General features: G+C 38.9%; 1 long non-coding RNA gene across 2 annotated transcripts; it reads left to right on the plus strand.

Moving 5' to 3' along the window:
- The first annotated feature begins 693 nt into the window (after positions 1-693).
- On the plus strand, positions 694-15,280 carry LOC105374810 (uncharacterized). 2 transcript variants are annotated; one of them, XR_007087111.1, is made up of 5 exons: positions 12,838-12,926; positions 13,030-13,170; positions 13,841-14,070; positions 14,582-14,651; positions 15,070-15,280. It is a non-coding gene; the product is annotated as an uncharacterized LOC105374810 (long non-coding RNA). The 2 variants fall into 2 exon arrangements; XR_007087112.1 differs by having other exon boundaries at positions 694-13,305.
- Positions 15,281-17,969: the final 2,689 nt, after the last annotated feature.

A 17,969-nucleotide genomic window follows, 5' to 3' on the forward strand; every position in this document is an offset into this window, starting at 1 on the left:
CATGACCACTAGACCAGCCTCTGGATATCAATATTTGAGAGAGATCTTGTTTCTCAGAAACCAGACATGCACTGGTTTGTGGATGATAAAGATTTTTTTTCCACATGGACATTCTGCTGCCTTCTCCCTGCTAACCTCCCAACCTCTGCCTGAGAATTAGGTAGCACATCATAATAATTACAAACAGCCTCTAGCTTCTCCTGGCCTCTTCTAACATGATCCAGGCTCCAGATATCTGAATATTTCTTAGAGATACCTTTTATTTATACGTTATTTCAATGTGGTTGAAAACAAGCCACCGGGCACGGTGCCTCACGCCTGTAATCCTAGCACTTTGTGAGGCTGAGGGAGGCAGTTTACCTGAGCTCAGGAATTTGAGACCAGCCTAGGCAACATGGCAAAACCCTGCATCTACTAAAATGCATAAAAGAAAAAAAAATATTAGCCGAGTGTGGTGGTATGTGCCTGTAGTCCCAGCTACTTGGGAGGCTGAGGCATGAGAAGCTCTTGAACCTGGGAGAGGGAGGTTGTAGTGAGCTGAATTGTGCCCCTGCGCTCCAGCCTGGAAGACAGAGTAAGACTCTTCTCCAAAAAGATAAAAAAAAAAAAAAAAAAATAGAAAAGAAAACAAAGGCCATTCACTAAACAGAATGTTTTGCTCTAGATAATTACAGAGCACAGGCAGAGTGGGGTGTTTATCAGCCATGAGACCTTTGCAATTGATCTATTATGATGTAACACATTTTGGAAAGATGATTTTTAAAAACATGTGTCCCTGGACTCATGGTAATATGGTTCCAGGCCTATTATCACAAATTTGCTCCTTTCTGGTGTCATGCATGATCAATTGAAAGCTACATAATCCTCAGGTGTGAGGTAGTTTTATTCTGGAAAAGCTCTCTTAGATTGTATTATGTACCAGCTTATTTATCCTCTAAGTAAAAATGAGCCAAGCATCCAAGGATCTATTAAGCACCTTCACATTGGTCCATTCAAATCCACAGGCTTTCAGGCATTAACCCATCCCCATAAGAGGCTTCATGAAATGGCTCATCAAATGCCTGGCAACAGAGGAAGCCATCTGGTGAAGGGTGGATTGTGATTATAACCCATCCAGATTTGCCTTCTCATCAGCAACAACACTGTTGTCTCATTCGCCCCTGTAATTGGTCGTGAAAGCCTAGGGACAAAAGATTGAACATAAACCAATCTGACCACCAGGTTTTTTTTGTGTACCTTTTTTTTTTCTTTTTTAAGTTGGGAGCATCCAATCACACTCATCTCTGAGGTTAGAACAATTTACCTTGTGGAAATCCCCTTCGTCATTGAAGATGAATCTTGCTCAGCTAACTACTTCCCAGCTGCTGGGCAGCAGGAATATTCAGGGCCACCATTAAGCCTACCCCTCAGCAAAATCTCCCCATGGCTGAAGGCCAGGCAGTTCAACAGGAATCCTACGGAGCAACCACTGCAAAGCTCACTGAGTGGACTTCCAGGCATTTTCACACCCACAGGAAAAATTGCAAGAACCCATAAAGCCATGCTGAGGAGTATAGGACGTCAGGCACAGGTCAGTGCTGATTTCATCAGAGCGCTGTTCAGATCGCTTGTGCTGCCATTCCTGTGAAAACACTGTTCCAGTCATGTGGCTGAGCAGTGTGTAGACGAACTAGTCTTCCAAATCTTGGCTGCCCACTAGGTCTCACACTTGGGGCTCTTTCCTCATGTGGTTCCACTATGCAGCCAATGTTAACTACTCCAAGCCTAGTTAGCAGACCAGCAGCAGAAGTGTTATGTGGGAGCTTGTTAGAAATACAGAATCTCAGCCGTACCTAGACTTTCTGAATCAAAATCTGCCTTCTTAAAAGATTCCCAGGGGATATGTATGAACGTTACCATTTGCGAATCATATAAGTAGAGTATGGCCTCCCAGAACATGTGACCTATTGGAATCACTAGGAGAGCCTAGACTTACAACGTTATGGTAGAGCTTAGAAGTCTCTATTTAAAACAAATGTTCTAGGTGCTTTTATTGTGACCTGGCACAAGCCTATGGACAGCACCATGGACCAGAGTCTCCCACATGTCCTTGATAATAAGAACAACCTGGAGGAGGAGGCTTATTTTTTAAAAAACAAAATCCTATGCTGGGCTTAATATCTAGGTGATGGGTTGATCTGTGCAGCAAACCACGGTGGCACACATTTACCTATGTAACAAACCTGCACATCCTGCACATGTACCCCTGAACTTAAAAAGTTGAAGAAAAAAAACCCCCAGGCCACTTCCCAGAAATTCTATTTCAGTTGGATCTTGGGGCGAGATACGAGAATCTGTACTTACTCCCCACACACATATGCACACATACAGTGATTCTTGAAAAATTTGGGAAACACAGGAGTGTTCTATAGCAGTGACTCTTCAATGTTGTTGTGCAACAGCATTGTCTGGGGAGGCTGCTAAATGTACTGACTCCTGGAACCTTTGAAAATAAGGGAAGACTACCCAGATAGGAACAAGCAAAAGCTATTTATTCAGAGCTCATTACAGCAAGGAAGCCAGCCACTATCACTTGCATTTGGCAGAAACACAAAGGCAGGCGGGGAAGTGTAAAAGCTGTATAGTGAGCAAAAGGGAAGGGTTCAGTTGTGTCCTGATTGGAGGGTGTTGGCAGGGGCATGCCGTAGATGGTCTAACTAAAAGCAGAGCATCCCATGCAATTGGTTAGGGGTACATATTTGGCTTTCTCCAGCTGGTCTTAAGTTGGAAGGAAGACACACATTAGGGAAGCTAACCAAATCCTGGCCATTTTGGGCTGATTGCTACAGAGGTTATGGTTTGTTTTCCTGGATTGGTTGCTACAGAGGTTGTGGGTCAGAATTCTATTTTTATGTAGCTCTGGCCATTGTCCATTTGTATATTCAGTCTCTCAACATCTACCCCAGAATTATTAATTAAAAACAATGTAATGAGGCCTGGACACCAATATTTTAATAAGCTCCCCAGGTTCTCAAATTGGCTAGCCACACATCTACAGATATCCTGAGTTTTTGCTAACCATCCTACTGCAGTTTCAAAGGTGTCAGGCAGTTTTTATTCCCACTCTGATTACCACACACCATTTGAAACAAGAACTTCACAATCAGAGGGGGCTTCTTGGCAGCTTCCCACCATTTATACACATACCCTATGGGTGGTCAGTATGATACCTGAATGCCAGAGTTGTCAGCGATCTTACTTTGGGGTGAAGCAGGGCAGAAGAATTGAAATAAAGACATCAAGATGCTTTTCAATAAATGTCATCTGAAGACCAGAATATGAACAAGGAGTTGAATATGAATGAGGAATTCTCTATTAGATAATTACATCAGAATTTCCTAGACAACAATTGTAATCAGATAGGGCTCCAGAGGGGCAGGCATCCCAGAATCATCCATGTGGAAGGACGTGTAGTTTGAAGAAGCCACCTGGTTGACTGTGATATTCTTCTGTACCCCTTTGTTGAGAACCACTGATGTAGAGAATGTAATAAACAATTCAGGGGTTACAAACTCCAACACCCACATGAGCCATGAGGGTAACATAAATTGGTAGCATAGCTGGGAACCTTAAGCTGTCTTCTTTTGACACAGACCTAACTTGTTTGTTCATTAAGCAAATGGATATATTTTTCACTTCCACAAGTAAACATGTTCTCTCATTTATATTGGGGGAGAAAGTTCTCAATCTGCCTTTCATTTTCTGACTTTTGAGATATAATTTTTAAATGATTACTGAGAAAAGCAGCAGCGAAAAAACATCATGCTAAATGGCAAAGGAAACTCAGTATCAAAGGAAGAGCTGTAAATGGTGAGACTGGGCCCAGCTGGAGGCTGGACAGCTGCTACTCAGCTCTGGGGAATTGGAGTTTGTTGCCTTTTCTGATTTTTTTTTTAAAGGCAGAAATAGGAGATTTAATATGTAATTGTCTGATCTTTAAATGTTGGCTTAATTTTTATTTAAGATTGTGAAGGTCAAACAAATAAGTCTGATGGGTTGGACACAGGCCTCAAGCCGCCAAGTTTGTAACCTCGGCACTGTAGCATTGCCTGCAAATGAGGTGTTAGCACAGGACCCCGTTCATGCTAAGGGCACCGCAAAGTTCTCCAACCAAGCACGCACCAAGAGCGGGACCACGTTAACTCTACCCAGCCTCCATCTCCCTCCTCAGGTCATCATTTCCACAGTGGAACTTAACCTTGCTATCTTTAGAAAGTAAAGATACCAAACAGATCTGCCGATAGCTTCGTTTTCAATGATGAGCTCAATCTCTCTTCTTTCTTTTCCTCTTTAATTCACAAAACCTAGTGGTTAGGCAGCCTAAGCAGGGAAAGTGTGGGAGTGGGATGTAACTGGTCCCTTGTCAACAATCACTGGGGTAGCTAAGTTGTTTATTTCTTAAATTTAGTTTAAAACGGATGCAGTCAGCAGTTTCTAATTCCTGTCTGGGCTAAAGAAAAAAAATGTTTGCATTTTTACTTTTTCAAGAGTTTTCAGCCTTATTTGGAATCAACTGACTCACATTTGGGTCAGGATCGAAGGGTTGTTGATTCGGGAGTCAGAAAGGAAAAGTAGATAAATTTTAAAATACTTTAATAAAATCTTTATACAAAAGATGTTGGAATTACTGAAAACTTTTAGTCTCTTCAGAATCAGAGTCAAGCAAAAGTGGGCTGGGAAAGGTAGAGGTAGGTGGCTTGAGATTAATGTTTTTTTGTGGGGTACTTGATTAAAATTTATATTTTAGGTGAATGGGTTGATTCACCTAAGCAATACTTTGGCAGGTAATACCTTTTTAAAAAATACCACCGATGCAGATCTGAATAATGGTGTCGATTAATTCAGTTTTCTCAGTAGTGAAATATAAATTGGAACCTCTCTCCACCAAACTTCATGGAAATTTTTGGGAGCATGCTCCTCACCAGCACCATCTCCCTTTGTTGGCCATTTCTGTAATGCAGTTGTGTAAGTTTCATAGTGCAACCCAAGGCCAAACGCTGCCTCCAAGACCAGTGAAGCCAGAGGTCAGGCAAGCTACAATTCTGAAACTAAGTGATGCATAACAAAAAGCTGATTGCCTGAAAAAGGCAATAAGCTGAATTAGCCATAATTTTAACTGGTTTAATATGCTTTACCCAGGAACTGTCTGCTCTGAAAAATCACATGTAATACATTCCTTAATTGTAAAATAAAACATGGAGTATAACACTTTTATTAGTAGTAATTTAGGTTGTTTTCTTCTTCACTAAGAATTGAATAAATATCTATATGTAAAAAGCGCTTTGGTATGTTTCCACAAAGTTTGAGTGTGGTTTCACGTGATCACTCCAGCCAATAATCATTAAAGGCCTCAGCACTCACTGGCAAACCCATGCCTGTTCATTATTAAGCACTGAAAATGATGAGCCAATGAAGAATATGATAATGCAATCTTTAGAATCATTTATGGTTATGAGCATTGATTCACCAAATAAAGGCTTAAAATGTAATGGCCCTGAAAATGGAAAGACTATGTGTAAGAATTTTTAGAAACTGTAAGAGAAGAATGGTAATAAACTGTAAAGAGGAGACCAAATTCATTAGAATAAAAAAAATTGAGATGGGCTGAAGACACTAAGGAACGATTGGAATGAGAAGAATCGCCAAATGTGGAGCACCTAATCAAAAAGAGAACCAGAAATGAATAATCAACAAGGAGCTGTAATCAACATGGGAGAGCAAAGAAGAAAAGACCGGCTGGGAGAGCAAGCCTTGAGGGAAGCTGGAGAATATTCTATCTTGTGTATTTTGCATTTCAAAATCTCATACAAATATGCTTTTCTTATCCAAAAGAAGAGTTTCCCATCTGCTTCGCTTTTTCAGTGGTCATTACGTCACAAAGACAGACTTTTGAAGAAAGGTGCTGAAACCTGTAATTAGCTCTCCACTCTGTGATGTTTTGACAAGCACTGTCATCGGTTTCCTTAACAGTCGTAACTGAGAAAAAAAGGTTATTTGACTGCACAATGAAATTAGACATATGTATATATAAACTTAAATATAATTTGCTAATATGTTATCAATGGCTACTAAGTTCAGTCAGAGTGGGTTACTTTACATCAGGTAAAGCTAATGTAAACATATCAGTTTGAAGGGGTGCCAAATTATTAGCCCTCCTTTGGCACCTTGTGAAGAGTCTCACTGTTGTCTGCGTTAACTTTTCTCACGATTCTTCCCTCCTTTTATTCACTGCCTTCCACCCAGATTCTACTGGGCTTCAAAGCGTTGGACCCCATTCTCTGTGCCTTCTTCTACTTTTGTGTCATGATTTTGCCTGAGTTCTCTTCTCCTCTAGCAGCCACTTAGACTCATAACCTAAGGAGGCTTGCAACCTTGTCCATAGACTAATTTTTCCACCTTAACTAGAACCATTAATTGTAATAAAATTACATATTTAAATAAATTGCTTTCAGAAATTTGACAATAAAATTCCAAATTTGTGCTTTGATTCTTTCTCTTTGTTATACAGTTAAGACCCATTATTCCCTGTAGCTATGGGGAGTTGCAAATCATCCTTTACTCTCCGAACACTTCTTATTCAAATTAGATCAAAAATTCCAGATTCTGCCCTCCTCTGCTGTAACTTCCAGGTCACTTTTCCATTGACACAGGCAAACACAGAAAGTAGGGATAATGCAAAAGGCAACCTACTTTCCTGTGTCTGTGTATTCAGTAAAAAGGATTAGCTCAAAACAAAATGGCAAATTATTGAGCTTGTATTGGGGGTTCTGCTCACTTGCTGCCTTCCACTACTTCTAGAAACCTACTTCCGGGTGATGTTCTTAGGCCACTTCTGGTTGTGCTGAGGATCCTTCCCAGACCTACTTCCTCACGCAGAATACCGTGTGTCAATCCTCATCCTCCTTCCTCCATTTAAGGGGAAAAAGTGTTCCGGAAACGATATCATCTAATATAGTGATGATTTATAAGATGTTGATGCATTTAGTCTCTCAAAGGTGTTTCAGTTTCAACAGAATTATCTTACTCCAGAAGAGTTTAAGGCCAATTAATGAAATACTTTTTTGGGGAAGACAAGGAGACCTTTTCTGATACTCTCTAATAACCCCATGCAACTGAAAGTGTCCGGTGTTTATACCAGTCCTTTAGTCACAGTGGTTGCATCTAGAGTGGGTATAAAGTCTTACTTATGCATCTTAGGCCACCCTTGAAGGCTTCCTTTACTGACTCTCTCTACCAACAACCATTAGGATCTTTCCTCCAGTATAGAGGTGACCTTGTACCATGTTCATTAATTCACATGGTCACTCCCATTTTCTGAGCCCCTGTCTCATGTCAGGACCATGTAAGGCACTAAGAATGGAATACTAACAAGAATAGTTTCTGTGCCCAGAGAGCTTACCTTATATGTGAATGAGGCAAGTGTGTAAAGAAGTAATTATTGCAATGCACTAAGTATAGTAATGGGGCTTGTGTAAGGGCTTGATTCTGCCTGGAAAGATCAGGGAAGTCTTTCCTGAAGAGCTCTCCATTGCCTGCTTCATCCTTATCTGTTTTGTTTATGTTGTGTTGTCTTCCCAAGGAGGTTATGAACGGTCATTTTGTACTACTCACGTGATAAATGCTTATCTACTTATTAAATAACCATAACTAAACACAACTTTGCCCAACTTTTCATTAACCACCTCTTGAGAATCAAAAGTACAGCCATGGAGAGCATTACCCAAAGGTCTATGACTTCCAATCCAGTCTTTGCATATTTAGTGATTAATTTTGATGACTCCCCATGCTGCCAATACATACTCCACCCACACTATCCACCACACACATACCATGCATGATGCACATACATTATGCTGACATGCTGGAATGTTTAACAATCTGAAAATGGGGAAATTGTATCTCAAGATTAAATAAATAAAGCGAGCCCTCATCAAGTCATCAGCATTTGCCCCACAGGATTCCCCCAGGGGGTGGCTCTCCAGCATTTGTCATAAACAGAATGGAGGTCATTAAAGCTTGGCAAAACCTAACAACGTATCTAATTATAGGTTTGAAATTGCAGAACCAAGCAGTAACTACAGGGCACGCTGAGTTTAGTTACTTCTGAACACAATTTATTGCTTTGCTTGGGTAAATTACTCCCCATATTTAAAAAGAAGTGGAGATTTTTTGCATCATCTCCAGAGGGGCAGTCGGTAGGACAGCATCCTCGGGCAGAAATAAAGAGTTTTGAAGTTTTCTAAATGGACTCTTTAATGCAGTTGAACAAAAGGCGCAACCCTTACCAGCAGGCAAAACTAATCTTGAGGTCATCTGGAAAGAGTATCTGACAATTTACATTTATCTGATAAATCTGTCCCCTCTTCAAGTTCTTATCAGCCATGAGGGAGCTGCCAATACTTCCTTATATTACTGGGGCAAATTGGGTAATTTGGTGACTAGGAAAGAAAATAAAATCATAGCTGTGGTTTCGGTTTGCACTTTGTTTCTGGGGAAAAAAATACATTTTTTATATGTGCGTGTGTGTCGTTCCATGGTTTAAAAAATAGATCGGAAGAAAAAATCTTATAACAATGACTGCGTAGCTGTTATACAATATAAGATGTGAAAATTTAAACACATTTTCAAGATTTATTGATTGGCCTTGTTTTTTTTTTTCTTTTTTTAATAAAGCAAGGAACATATCACTTAAAGCAATCATATTGATATAAATATAAAAATGCATAATTTGTTATTCTTTTCTACCAAAATAAGTTTGGGCGATCTTCTCTATAGTGAGTGCACATAGATTATTGGTAAATTAAGTGTTTCTTAAATATATAAAATAAAAATAATTATTTTCAAAATAATTATTATTATCTTGTAAGACAAATAATTTTATTAGTCTTCTTTTCCAAAATGTTATTGGACATTCTTGCCCTTTTATTCATTCAGAAAAGTCTAAATATATATGTCAAATTCCTAAAATCTCCCTTTAGAATTTTGATTAAAAAGTCTAATAGATATAATTTGGTGAACATTGTCAATTTTTTAAAATGAAATCTTTTTCATTCAGTTATATGTTGGACTTTTAATTCAAAGTCTTTTTGTTTCTTTGTTTTTGTTTTAAATTTTACTCACAAAGGTTCTATACAATTCTAACTATGCTTATTTCTAAGTATTATAATTTTTATATTTGAATTGTTCTCTTAGCAATCAGTCTACTTGCATTGTACTGCCACATTGCTAAGGAGAAATGTTAACCATGATAAATAAATTATTCTATATGAAAACCATGTGAGAAGCAGTTTGAACATAATTAGGGTCTGCAGTTTGGAAAGATGCCCCTGAGTTCTGACTTGGAGTATTTTTTGACATCACCATTGTGTTGTTTGTTTTCCTGTGTGTGTGTGCATCTTGCTCCTCTCTCCCTGTCATTGTACTCTCCACAGGATTTTTCTCCTGACATTCACGCATGCACCCCCACCCATCTTGGCTTATGTAGAAAATTACTGCCCATGTCTTTGAGATGCATTCTTGGAACACCCAGAACAAATGCTCTTTATACCCAAAAGTCTTAGTTTAAAATCAGACAATTCAAACAGAGCCTTTAGATTTGTGGAAATCCAATTATCCACTTTTATGAGATATCATCACAAACAGATGAAAATATATTCATATGCTTTAATATATATTCATAGGTAAGATTTGTTTGTAATTTTCTTTTTTGCTATCTATGGTTTTGTTCTAGATAATGCTGGTTTCATAAAATAGATTGTACACCTTATGTCATTTTCTGAACTCTGAAACAATTTGAATAGTGTGATAGATGTTAAGCCCTTGAAAGTGTGAATTTACTTCTCATGAAAAATAATCTACAAGTTGTACTTTGACACCTGTTCCAATTCCTCTCTGTTCATGCATTCAAGTTGTTGAATGCCTGCCCTCTGCCAGAAACCATATTAGATATGTTTCAGTTTCTACTTATCCTTGATTCAATTTGAAGTAATTATTTTGACCCAGAGATTCATCAGTTTCATTGAGATATTCAAATTGAGTGAAGTTATGCATAATCTTCTTTTATAATTTTTGAATCTCTTCTAATTTGGATTTTTGTGTTTTCACTTTTTTCATTAGACTTGTCATATGTGTATATTCTATTGCTTATATGTAGAGAGTTTGTCTTGAATATCTCAGTTCTGCTTTTTCCCTCTATTTTTAAGTATATTAGCTTCTGATCTTATTATTTACATTTTTCTAGTATATTTATACTTATTTTCTAATTTCTTAATGAATCTATAGTAATTGTTTTCTTCAATAATGACCGTATTTACAGCCAAACATGTATCTCTGGTAACTGCTGTGGCTGCATTTTCATGTGTTTTTATATGTAATGTTCTACGTTTTCATTTTATAAATAGTTTGTATTTTTATCGTAAGCTTAAAATATATTCAGTCATTTTATGTGTCACAAAAGAAACAGACACATTTAAGCTAGCAAAAAACTTTTCATACAAAGCCTGTGTGTCTTCTGGCTTTGAATAATAACCACAGTCACTTGAAATACTTTAAATTTTATGTGATTAAAATTAAGGCCTAGAAATTTATTAATGGAATACTTCAAACCTAAATTTTATTTTTAAGAGTCTTTATCCTCCTAGACTGATTTTTTTTTGACTAATTGTGTTCTCTATTAAGACATAAGTTAAGTTTTATTCATCTTTTTATTATCTAAGACATGTATGCTTACAGGAACATAATAGGTTTGCATAAATTTTATTAAACACATAAAGGCAGTCTATAGAAAATATCGTTTTCAGGACAAGAAATAATCATCTACTTTAGGAATCTGAGTAACCACTGGAAATCTCTGTGTTCTATTAATCTGAACAGTTGCTATTACAGGCAACAGAAATGCAAATTTGTTTGAGTAAATAGAGGGGACTTAGGGTGGCATATGTGGGTTAACAGGCACCAGGCAAACACAACAGGATCACAAGCGATGTTGTCAGGATCTATTGTCCTTGCTCCATCTTTTGAATCTGCTTTCTTCTGTGTTGGAGTTCTTAAGGCCCTCTGCTCATGTCAGGAAAGATGTCAATAGCAGCTACAAGCGTATGGGATTTACCAGCTAGCAATTCCAAGAAATAATATATTTCCCAAGTAAAGCCACTAGGAAGGCTCAATTCAGCCCATTTCTGACTCAATTCCTGAGGCTGGGAGGATGAGCTCCTCTAAGATTCCAGGCCTGGGCATGATCACACCTCTGTAATGAGGGCATGTTCACACCTCTGTAGTGAGGTGTAATGACGGGGGCAGCTCTCCTCCACCACCTGGGCTGGTGCCCATCATGTAGGAAGGTTTGTTTCAGAAGACCAGAGGATGAATATTGGGGCAGGCAACAGGTAAGAGATGTTTGCAAAATCATTGTTTTCATAATTTTGAATGTCCTATACTTTCAATTGTAACATGATTGCCTGACATCAATTCAAAACCCTGAGCTCCCTAGAGAGCTCAGTTGGTGTTGCTGTTCTCTTTACTCTTTCTTTAGCCATGAGCTTCAACTAGTTCTCAGCTCAAGTCTTACAGCTCCTCTTTTGTTTCTTTATGTTGAGGAGCGGGGGAAGATTACATTCAACTTCAGACAGCTTGGAAAAAGTTAGAAGCAAAAGATGAATCTGAATGCTGTCTGATAGTCCATTTTTAATCAGAGGAGAGCAATTTTCCCTTCTCAAAGAATGTCTCTTCACATCAGGTATTTGGCTTCTAGGTGCTTGCTGATTAATTACTTACATTTACATAACATTAATCTCCTTTCTAACAATTTAGCAGGCTTCCAGCCGTTTTCCCCGCCTCATCAGTCTGGCAGAACATCCTCGATCTTAAAAGAGCCACAACTACTTTTGCAATGTGTAGATTTTGAAAACTTACTTAAATAAAACAGAATAAAAATCTTAAGCAAAGCTATAAATGATTATATCTTCCATGTATATTAGGTAGATATCTGAATGAAATGCTTGGTCTACACACTTTATTTTGAGTTGTGTATATGGAAAATATCTTCCCTTCTGTTTTGAAATTCCTTCCTTGAATTCTTTCCCAGAATCTTATTCATTCATTCTAAGCTCAGCTCCAATAACACCTCCTTTTGGAGGACCTTCCAGAGCCTCCTGGTCACTTGATATCTTTCATTACAATTCCACATCACTATTTGGGATTACATTCATGCATTCATTCAACAGAAATTTATTGAGCTCTTCCAATGTTAACCCCTATGTAGGTGCTGGGGGCAAAAATGTGATGAAAAACAGAAATAGTCTCTGCTTTCCAGAACCCTCAGTCAAAAGGGATGTGTAAGGTATAGTGACTGTGATGTCACAAAGATAGGAATTTAGCCAGGAGGAAATACTTGCATTAGATCTTGAGGAATAAGCCCAAGTTCACCACACAAGTAAAGAATGGGGTTGGCAGTACTGTCCTTACATGGGCCAAGAAGGGTACCCCATGCTTTCAGGATCCTGCTGTGTCCTTTCTCTAGCTCTGCACCACCCTATGTTTCTGCTTTCTAGAACCGGTTTCAACCACCCAGTGCCCCAGAGTTCCCTACCCAAACATCCCCAAACTCCCTTCCAGGCCTGCACTGGACTTTTCCCCAAGTCCGTACTCTTAAAGGCCAGAATGTGCTGATAGTGTGTGTACCCTAGGCCCAAGCTTTGGGGTGATGTTGGGGAGGGTGAGTGGAGCTTAGATTAAGTGGTCCATACATCTATACCCAAAAGCGTTTGTTGAATTGGAGAAAGCCAGGGAGCAGAGAGCAGTGGAGCGGGCTGGCATATTCTACAGCAGTAAGTTCCAGCATGGAAAAATCCAAGGAGCCTGAAAATTCTAAATCTGAGCTTGGCCTTCAGGTCATTATGAAGATATATTTGTCACATAGGAAGACAGAATGCATTTTTACATAACAGTTTGTTGGCTTGATTTATAACTTTTAAATGTATGCATGTTTGATAGGTGTGCTTCCATTTATGCTCTTGCCTTGGGCTGCAGAAATGTTAGGGCAGGCCTGGAAGCAAGGCACAGAGATGGTTCTGAGCCGACAGAAGAGAGACAGAAAGGTCCAGAGGTGTAATTTGGGAATCCAATCACAAGCAGGTTGGTGTGACCACAGAATGACTTGGAAATTGGCTAGTTATGCATGTGTTCATCTTTCCCTCCAGACGGTATATTCTCTGAGGTCAAATGCCATGGAACATTCATTCCTGTGTTTGGCAGAACATTTTATACAGAGTAAGCCCTCAATTTATGGTAGATGAATTCATGTTGAACTAATGAGGTGATATACATTACTTAGAGGGAAACCACAAATACACTTACACTTTCCACCATTAACTTATCATTAAGACAGCTGTAGTTAAATCAATAATAAAACCTTAATTTATATCAACTGATACATGTTACATGTGGAGTGGGTCTATGCTATTTTGGTTTAGTCACAGATAACTGGTAATAAGTAAAATAAGAAAAACAAAAATGTGGCTAATATGCAAGTGTTGTGTCTCAGTTTACTTTTCTAAAAAATAGGGGCTTATTGTGCTAACCCAAGCCACTATAGGCAGGAACGTGACCATGCATCGAGCACTCAGAGGGGCAGGCATTCTAGGAGATAGATCTCCAATGAGAGCTTGGCACCCTCTGACCCTCTGACCTGTTCACAAGGCCCAGCCATGTTCACTGTTGAGTGCAGGGTCTTTCCAACACAGTTTAGAATGAATTGTATGTGTAAGATTTCTAAGTTTTTGAATGTTCTTTTTTTCTTTCACAGGCATAAGGCAGCCAAGAAGGATGAGCCGGTGATCTCTGCAGTCTGCCCATAACTCCACACAAAACTTTACCCATTGTCACAGGAGAGTATAAGCATAGCATAAAGATCCTCGTAGATGGACTTTCAGCTCCATGCTTAAAGCAACTGACAAGAATCCATTTCTTTTCAGTGTACAAGTGAAGGGTAAAAGACAGAGAAGGAAGATAGAGCATAGGAAAAAGAGTGGGGTGGTGAGTGAATGATAAATAGGTGGCAGTCCTGTGTACGATAAAGATCTCCCTGAACTCCTATCATCCCATTCCCTTCTCTGCCCTCTAGGTACCATCTGTGCATGTGGACACTGACACCACAACCGCATATCTGCTTACCTCTTGCAGTGCTCTGTAGTCTGCACCTACTATGAAGTCCTTCCATCTCCTTGCACACATCATTTCTCTCAGCTCTGCACTTTGGCACATGGAGTTCCCTTTTCTCCTCTCTTCCTCCCACCTGCCTCTTCAAATGGTGACATCTTACTCACCCCTCCCATCTGATCACAATGCTCAGGGATGCTCCCTTTGGCCTTTCGATCCTGGTTAGTTACCCTTTGGCCTGCTTCCATAGTTTCCTATATTTCCCCCATAATAGCATTAGTACATGATATTGCAAATTTCTGTTTACTTATGTGTATCTTGCACTAGACTGAAAGCTCTGTGAAGATAAGGAACTGTGCCCTCACAGCCTTGCTCATGTTCTCCACAGATATTTGTCCATTCATTTGTTGAAGAAATGGTTAAATAAAGGAATGAATGACTAAAGACCAGGTTGGCAGGTAAGCTTATGGTGGGATGCTGTGCTTTGACTGTTTGTGCCCCCACAAAATGCATATGTTGAAATCCTACCTGCCAAGATGATAGGATTAGAAAGTGGGATTTTTAGGGAGATCATTAGGTCATGAGAATTGAGCCTCATGAATGGTATTAGTGCCCTTATAAAAGGGGCCAAGAGAATTATTTGCCCTTCTGCCATGCGAGGACACAGTGAGAAGGTACCATCTATGAACCAGAGAATGGGCCCTCACCAGACACCAAATCTGTTAGTTTCTTGATCTTGGACTTCCTAGCCTCCAGAACAGTTAGAAATAAATTTCTGGTGTTTATAAGCTACCTACTTTCTGGTATTAGGTGTTCTGTTATAGCAGCCCAAATAGATTAAGATGTGGAGCCTAAACTTTACATTCATTTATTTAGGTGAAAGCCAGGGCAGGGGCCTGGGGCAGCAGGCAGAGACACAGCTCTCACAAATGCAAGAGGAAGACGAATCAGGCACTCGTCTGTTCTTCAAAGGATACAGAATGGTTTTATTGACCACCTGTACATGTGATGGCTTTCATCCTGGAGGAGAAGGGCATATCCACACCTACCGAATATCTGTTTCACAGGCAATGTGCCAATTATTTACATGCATAATCTCAGTAAATCCTTAGACAACTCTGTGGAGGCATTTACTGATATCTCCATTTTACCCAGGAGGACACTGAGGTCCAGAGAGATTAAACCATTTGTCTGAGGTCACACGGCCAGTGAAATTTTGATGCAGGATTTAAATCCAAGTCTGTCTCTTACCACTGTATCATGCTGTTTTCAGAGGTGAGGGGAGGTGTCTTAAGAGTACCATATGGCTTCTGCCACTGGGGAGACCACTGTCAAATTCCAAGAGGAAGATCATGAGGGTCTCAACTGAATTACTGAAGGGGAGATTGTGTGAGAAGAGACAGATTTAAGACTTATCTGCAGGGTAGAAATTGGATTGGTGAACTTAATACAATGTTTCTTTATTCATTCATTTATTCATTTCAATATTCACTGAGTTTTATTATGTGTCAAGACACTGCATTTAGTTGGCCCAGGGAAGAATAAATGTGAATAGGACACTGCATTCAATGAATGCTGATTCTAGAATGAGCAGCAAACTAAATCCAGTAATGATATTACAGCATCACCACATACTTTCAATTCTACCTCTTAAATATCTCAATCTATTTCTTCTTTTCTACCCTCACTGACATGTGGTTCACAGACCTCATTATCTCTCACCCGTTGCTGTAGCAGTCTCATACCAGGCCTTCCCATCTTGTATGTGGCACTAACTCGAGTATAAGGCCATTTCATGGTTTTCTGCCAAGAATTGTTTTCTCAGCTCATTGGCAAAACAAACACAGCTTCAGTTCCTAACCTGAAAAGTTTATGCATGAAGAATTTAAAATATTAGTAATCTTTTATTTAACGTATATTTTTTGAACACCTACTATGTGTGAAGTCTTGAGCAGGCACCAAGTATGTCACTGCAAGAGGCATGGCCTGTCTTTGAGGGAGGTACAGACAAGTAAATAGGCAACCCTAATACAGTGCTATAAGTGTAAATGCCTAAAATAGTTTAATGGGGTAAATTTTGGTAGAATATAGGAGGGGCATTTCTTCCAAACTAAGAGTCAGATGGAGGAAGTGACATTTAAACAAAAAAAATGAGAGAAATATGTATGTTTGGAGATGCTCTCCAACAGAACCTTTCATCCTACTCAAAAATATTTTGAATGTATCTTTTGAGATATAGGGAGCTAGAAACATTAAAGAAAATATTGTGCTATTTTTTTCTGGAACTTGAAAACAGAACAGATTGTAAGATGGGGAATGTTTCCTCACTAATGACTTTAATAAAAACTCAAAATCTACTTGTCAGCTTTAATATTCAGAGGCATGTTATGAGGGCGCCAACTAAATTGTATCTTTCTAATCCTTTTCTCAGTCATCTTTTATCCTTCCTATCCCCTTTGTTGAAAGAACTGCCAAAGCTAATTCCCTATCCTGGAGTTTAGGTTGATAAATGGAAAGATTATTTCCACTGGGAATATTGATAGGCTCCAGGTCTTGACGCTTGGGTTTTGAAAGAGGATGCTGCTTTTGTTAATGGAAATTCATGAGTACTTGGAACACAGTGATACAATAATTCCTAAGTCTGGGGTCAACAGGGACCTATGTTTGTTGGCAGGAGGCACCGGCTCAAATCAAATCAGCAGTAACATTAAGACCATCAAAATCAAGAGCTCTTAAAGTGGTGCCATATACAAGTTTGATGCATAGCTATAAATGATGTAGCTGCTTGAAGTCACAGAATCTGTCTGTGGTGCTTTTGTTACCTCTACTTTCTCCATCTGAACTGAGCTGAACACCACCTAAGTCTGATCATGAGTTTCCTGTTCCATAATGGGACCAACACCAAGGACTCTGTCCACTGATTTGCTGCAACCATAACATTTGCTCCCCCCTTCTCTTTTTCAAGTATTTCTCACAATAAAATAAGTACTTCTCCATTCCACAGTTGGGATATATATTCAAAAAGTTGAGATATATATCTCAACTGTATAATGACAGGTGACTTTTTCCCTTACTTTATAAATTGAGGTTGAAAAGTTAACTAATATGGAGATGAGTACATACCTACTAAGTTGGATCTGGGATTTAAATCCAAAGTGTTTGACTCCATACTCTGCGCACTGACTTTGTTACTCCAATATAGATCGGGCAGCAAGCCAGACAAAAATCCCAGCTTCAGTTTCTGGCTCATGAGGTTGACCAACAATATTTAAGTTAAAATCAGTGAGCAGGATGGTAGAACACAGGACTTAGCAAATCAGATTTCCTATCAGACTGGTGGTTTATACTGTTTCTATGATATGGGTAAGTTGCTGGCTCATTAAATTTCTCAGTTTCTATTCTTTTGTTTGTTTTCCAACAAGGACTACAGTCATTTATGCTATTGCTCTTTTGTTTCATTCATTAAATAATAATAATAATAATAATAATAATAATAATAATAATAATGAAATGAAGTGGCACATTGGAAGTAGGACTATTATTTCATGTCATTGCCCTTCTAATGGCAGGTAGTCTTTAAGAATGGTCTTTCCCAGGCCTAGCAGGCCAGTTGGTGTAATAACTACCTTTGAATTCAGAATTTTAGACACAGTCACTATAATGAGCAAGGTCAACCAGATGTCTGTTTAATGATGGTCTACCAGATGCTGATTGGATAGTGATTAGTCACATGGAAGGATGGGTAAGATCAATTGGAAAAAGATTCAGATTTACAG

Source organism: Homo sapiens, chromosome 2 (assembly GCF_000001405.40).
Source record: "Homo sapiens chromosome 2, GRCh38.p14 Primary Assembly".
In the NCBI taxonomy this organism is placed as follows: Eukaryota; Metazoa; Chordata; class Mammalia; order Primates; family Hominidae; genus Homo; species Homo sapiens.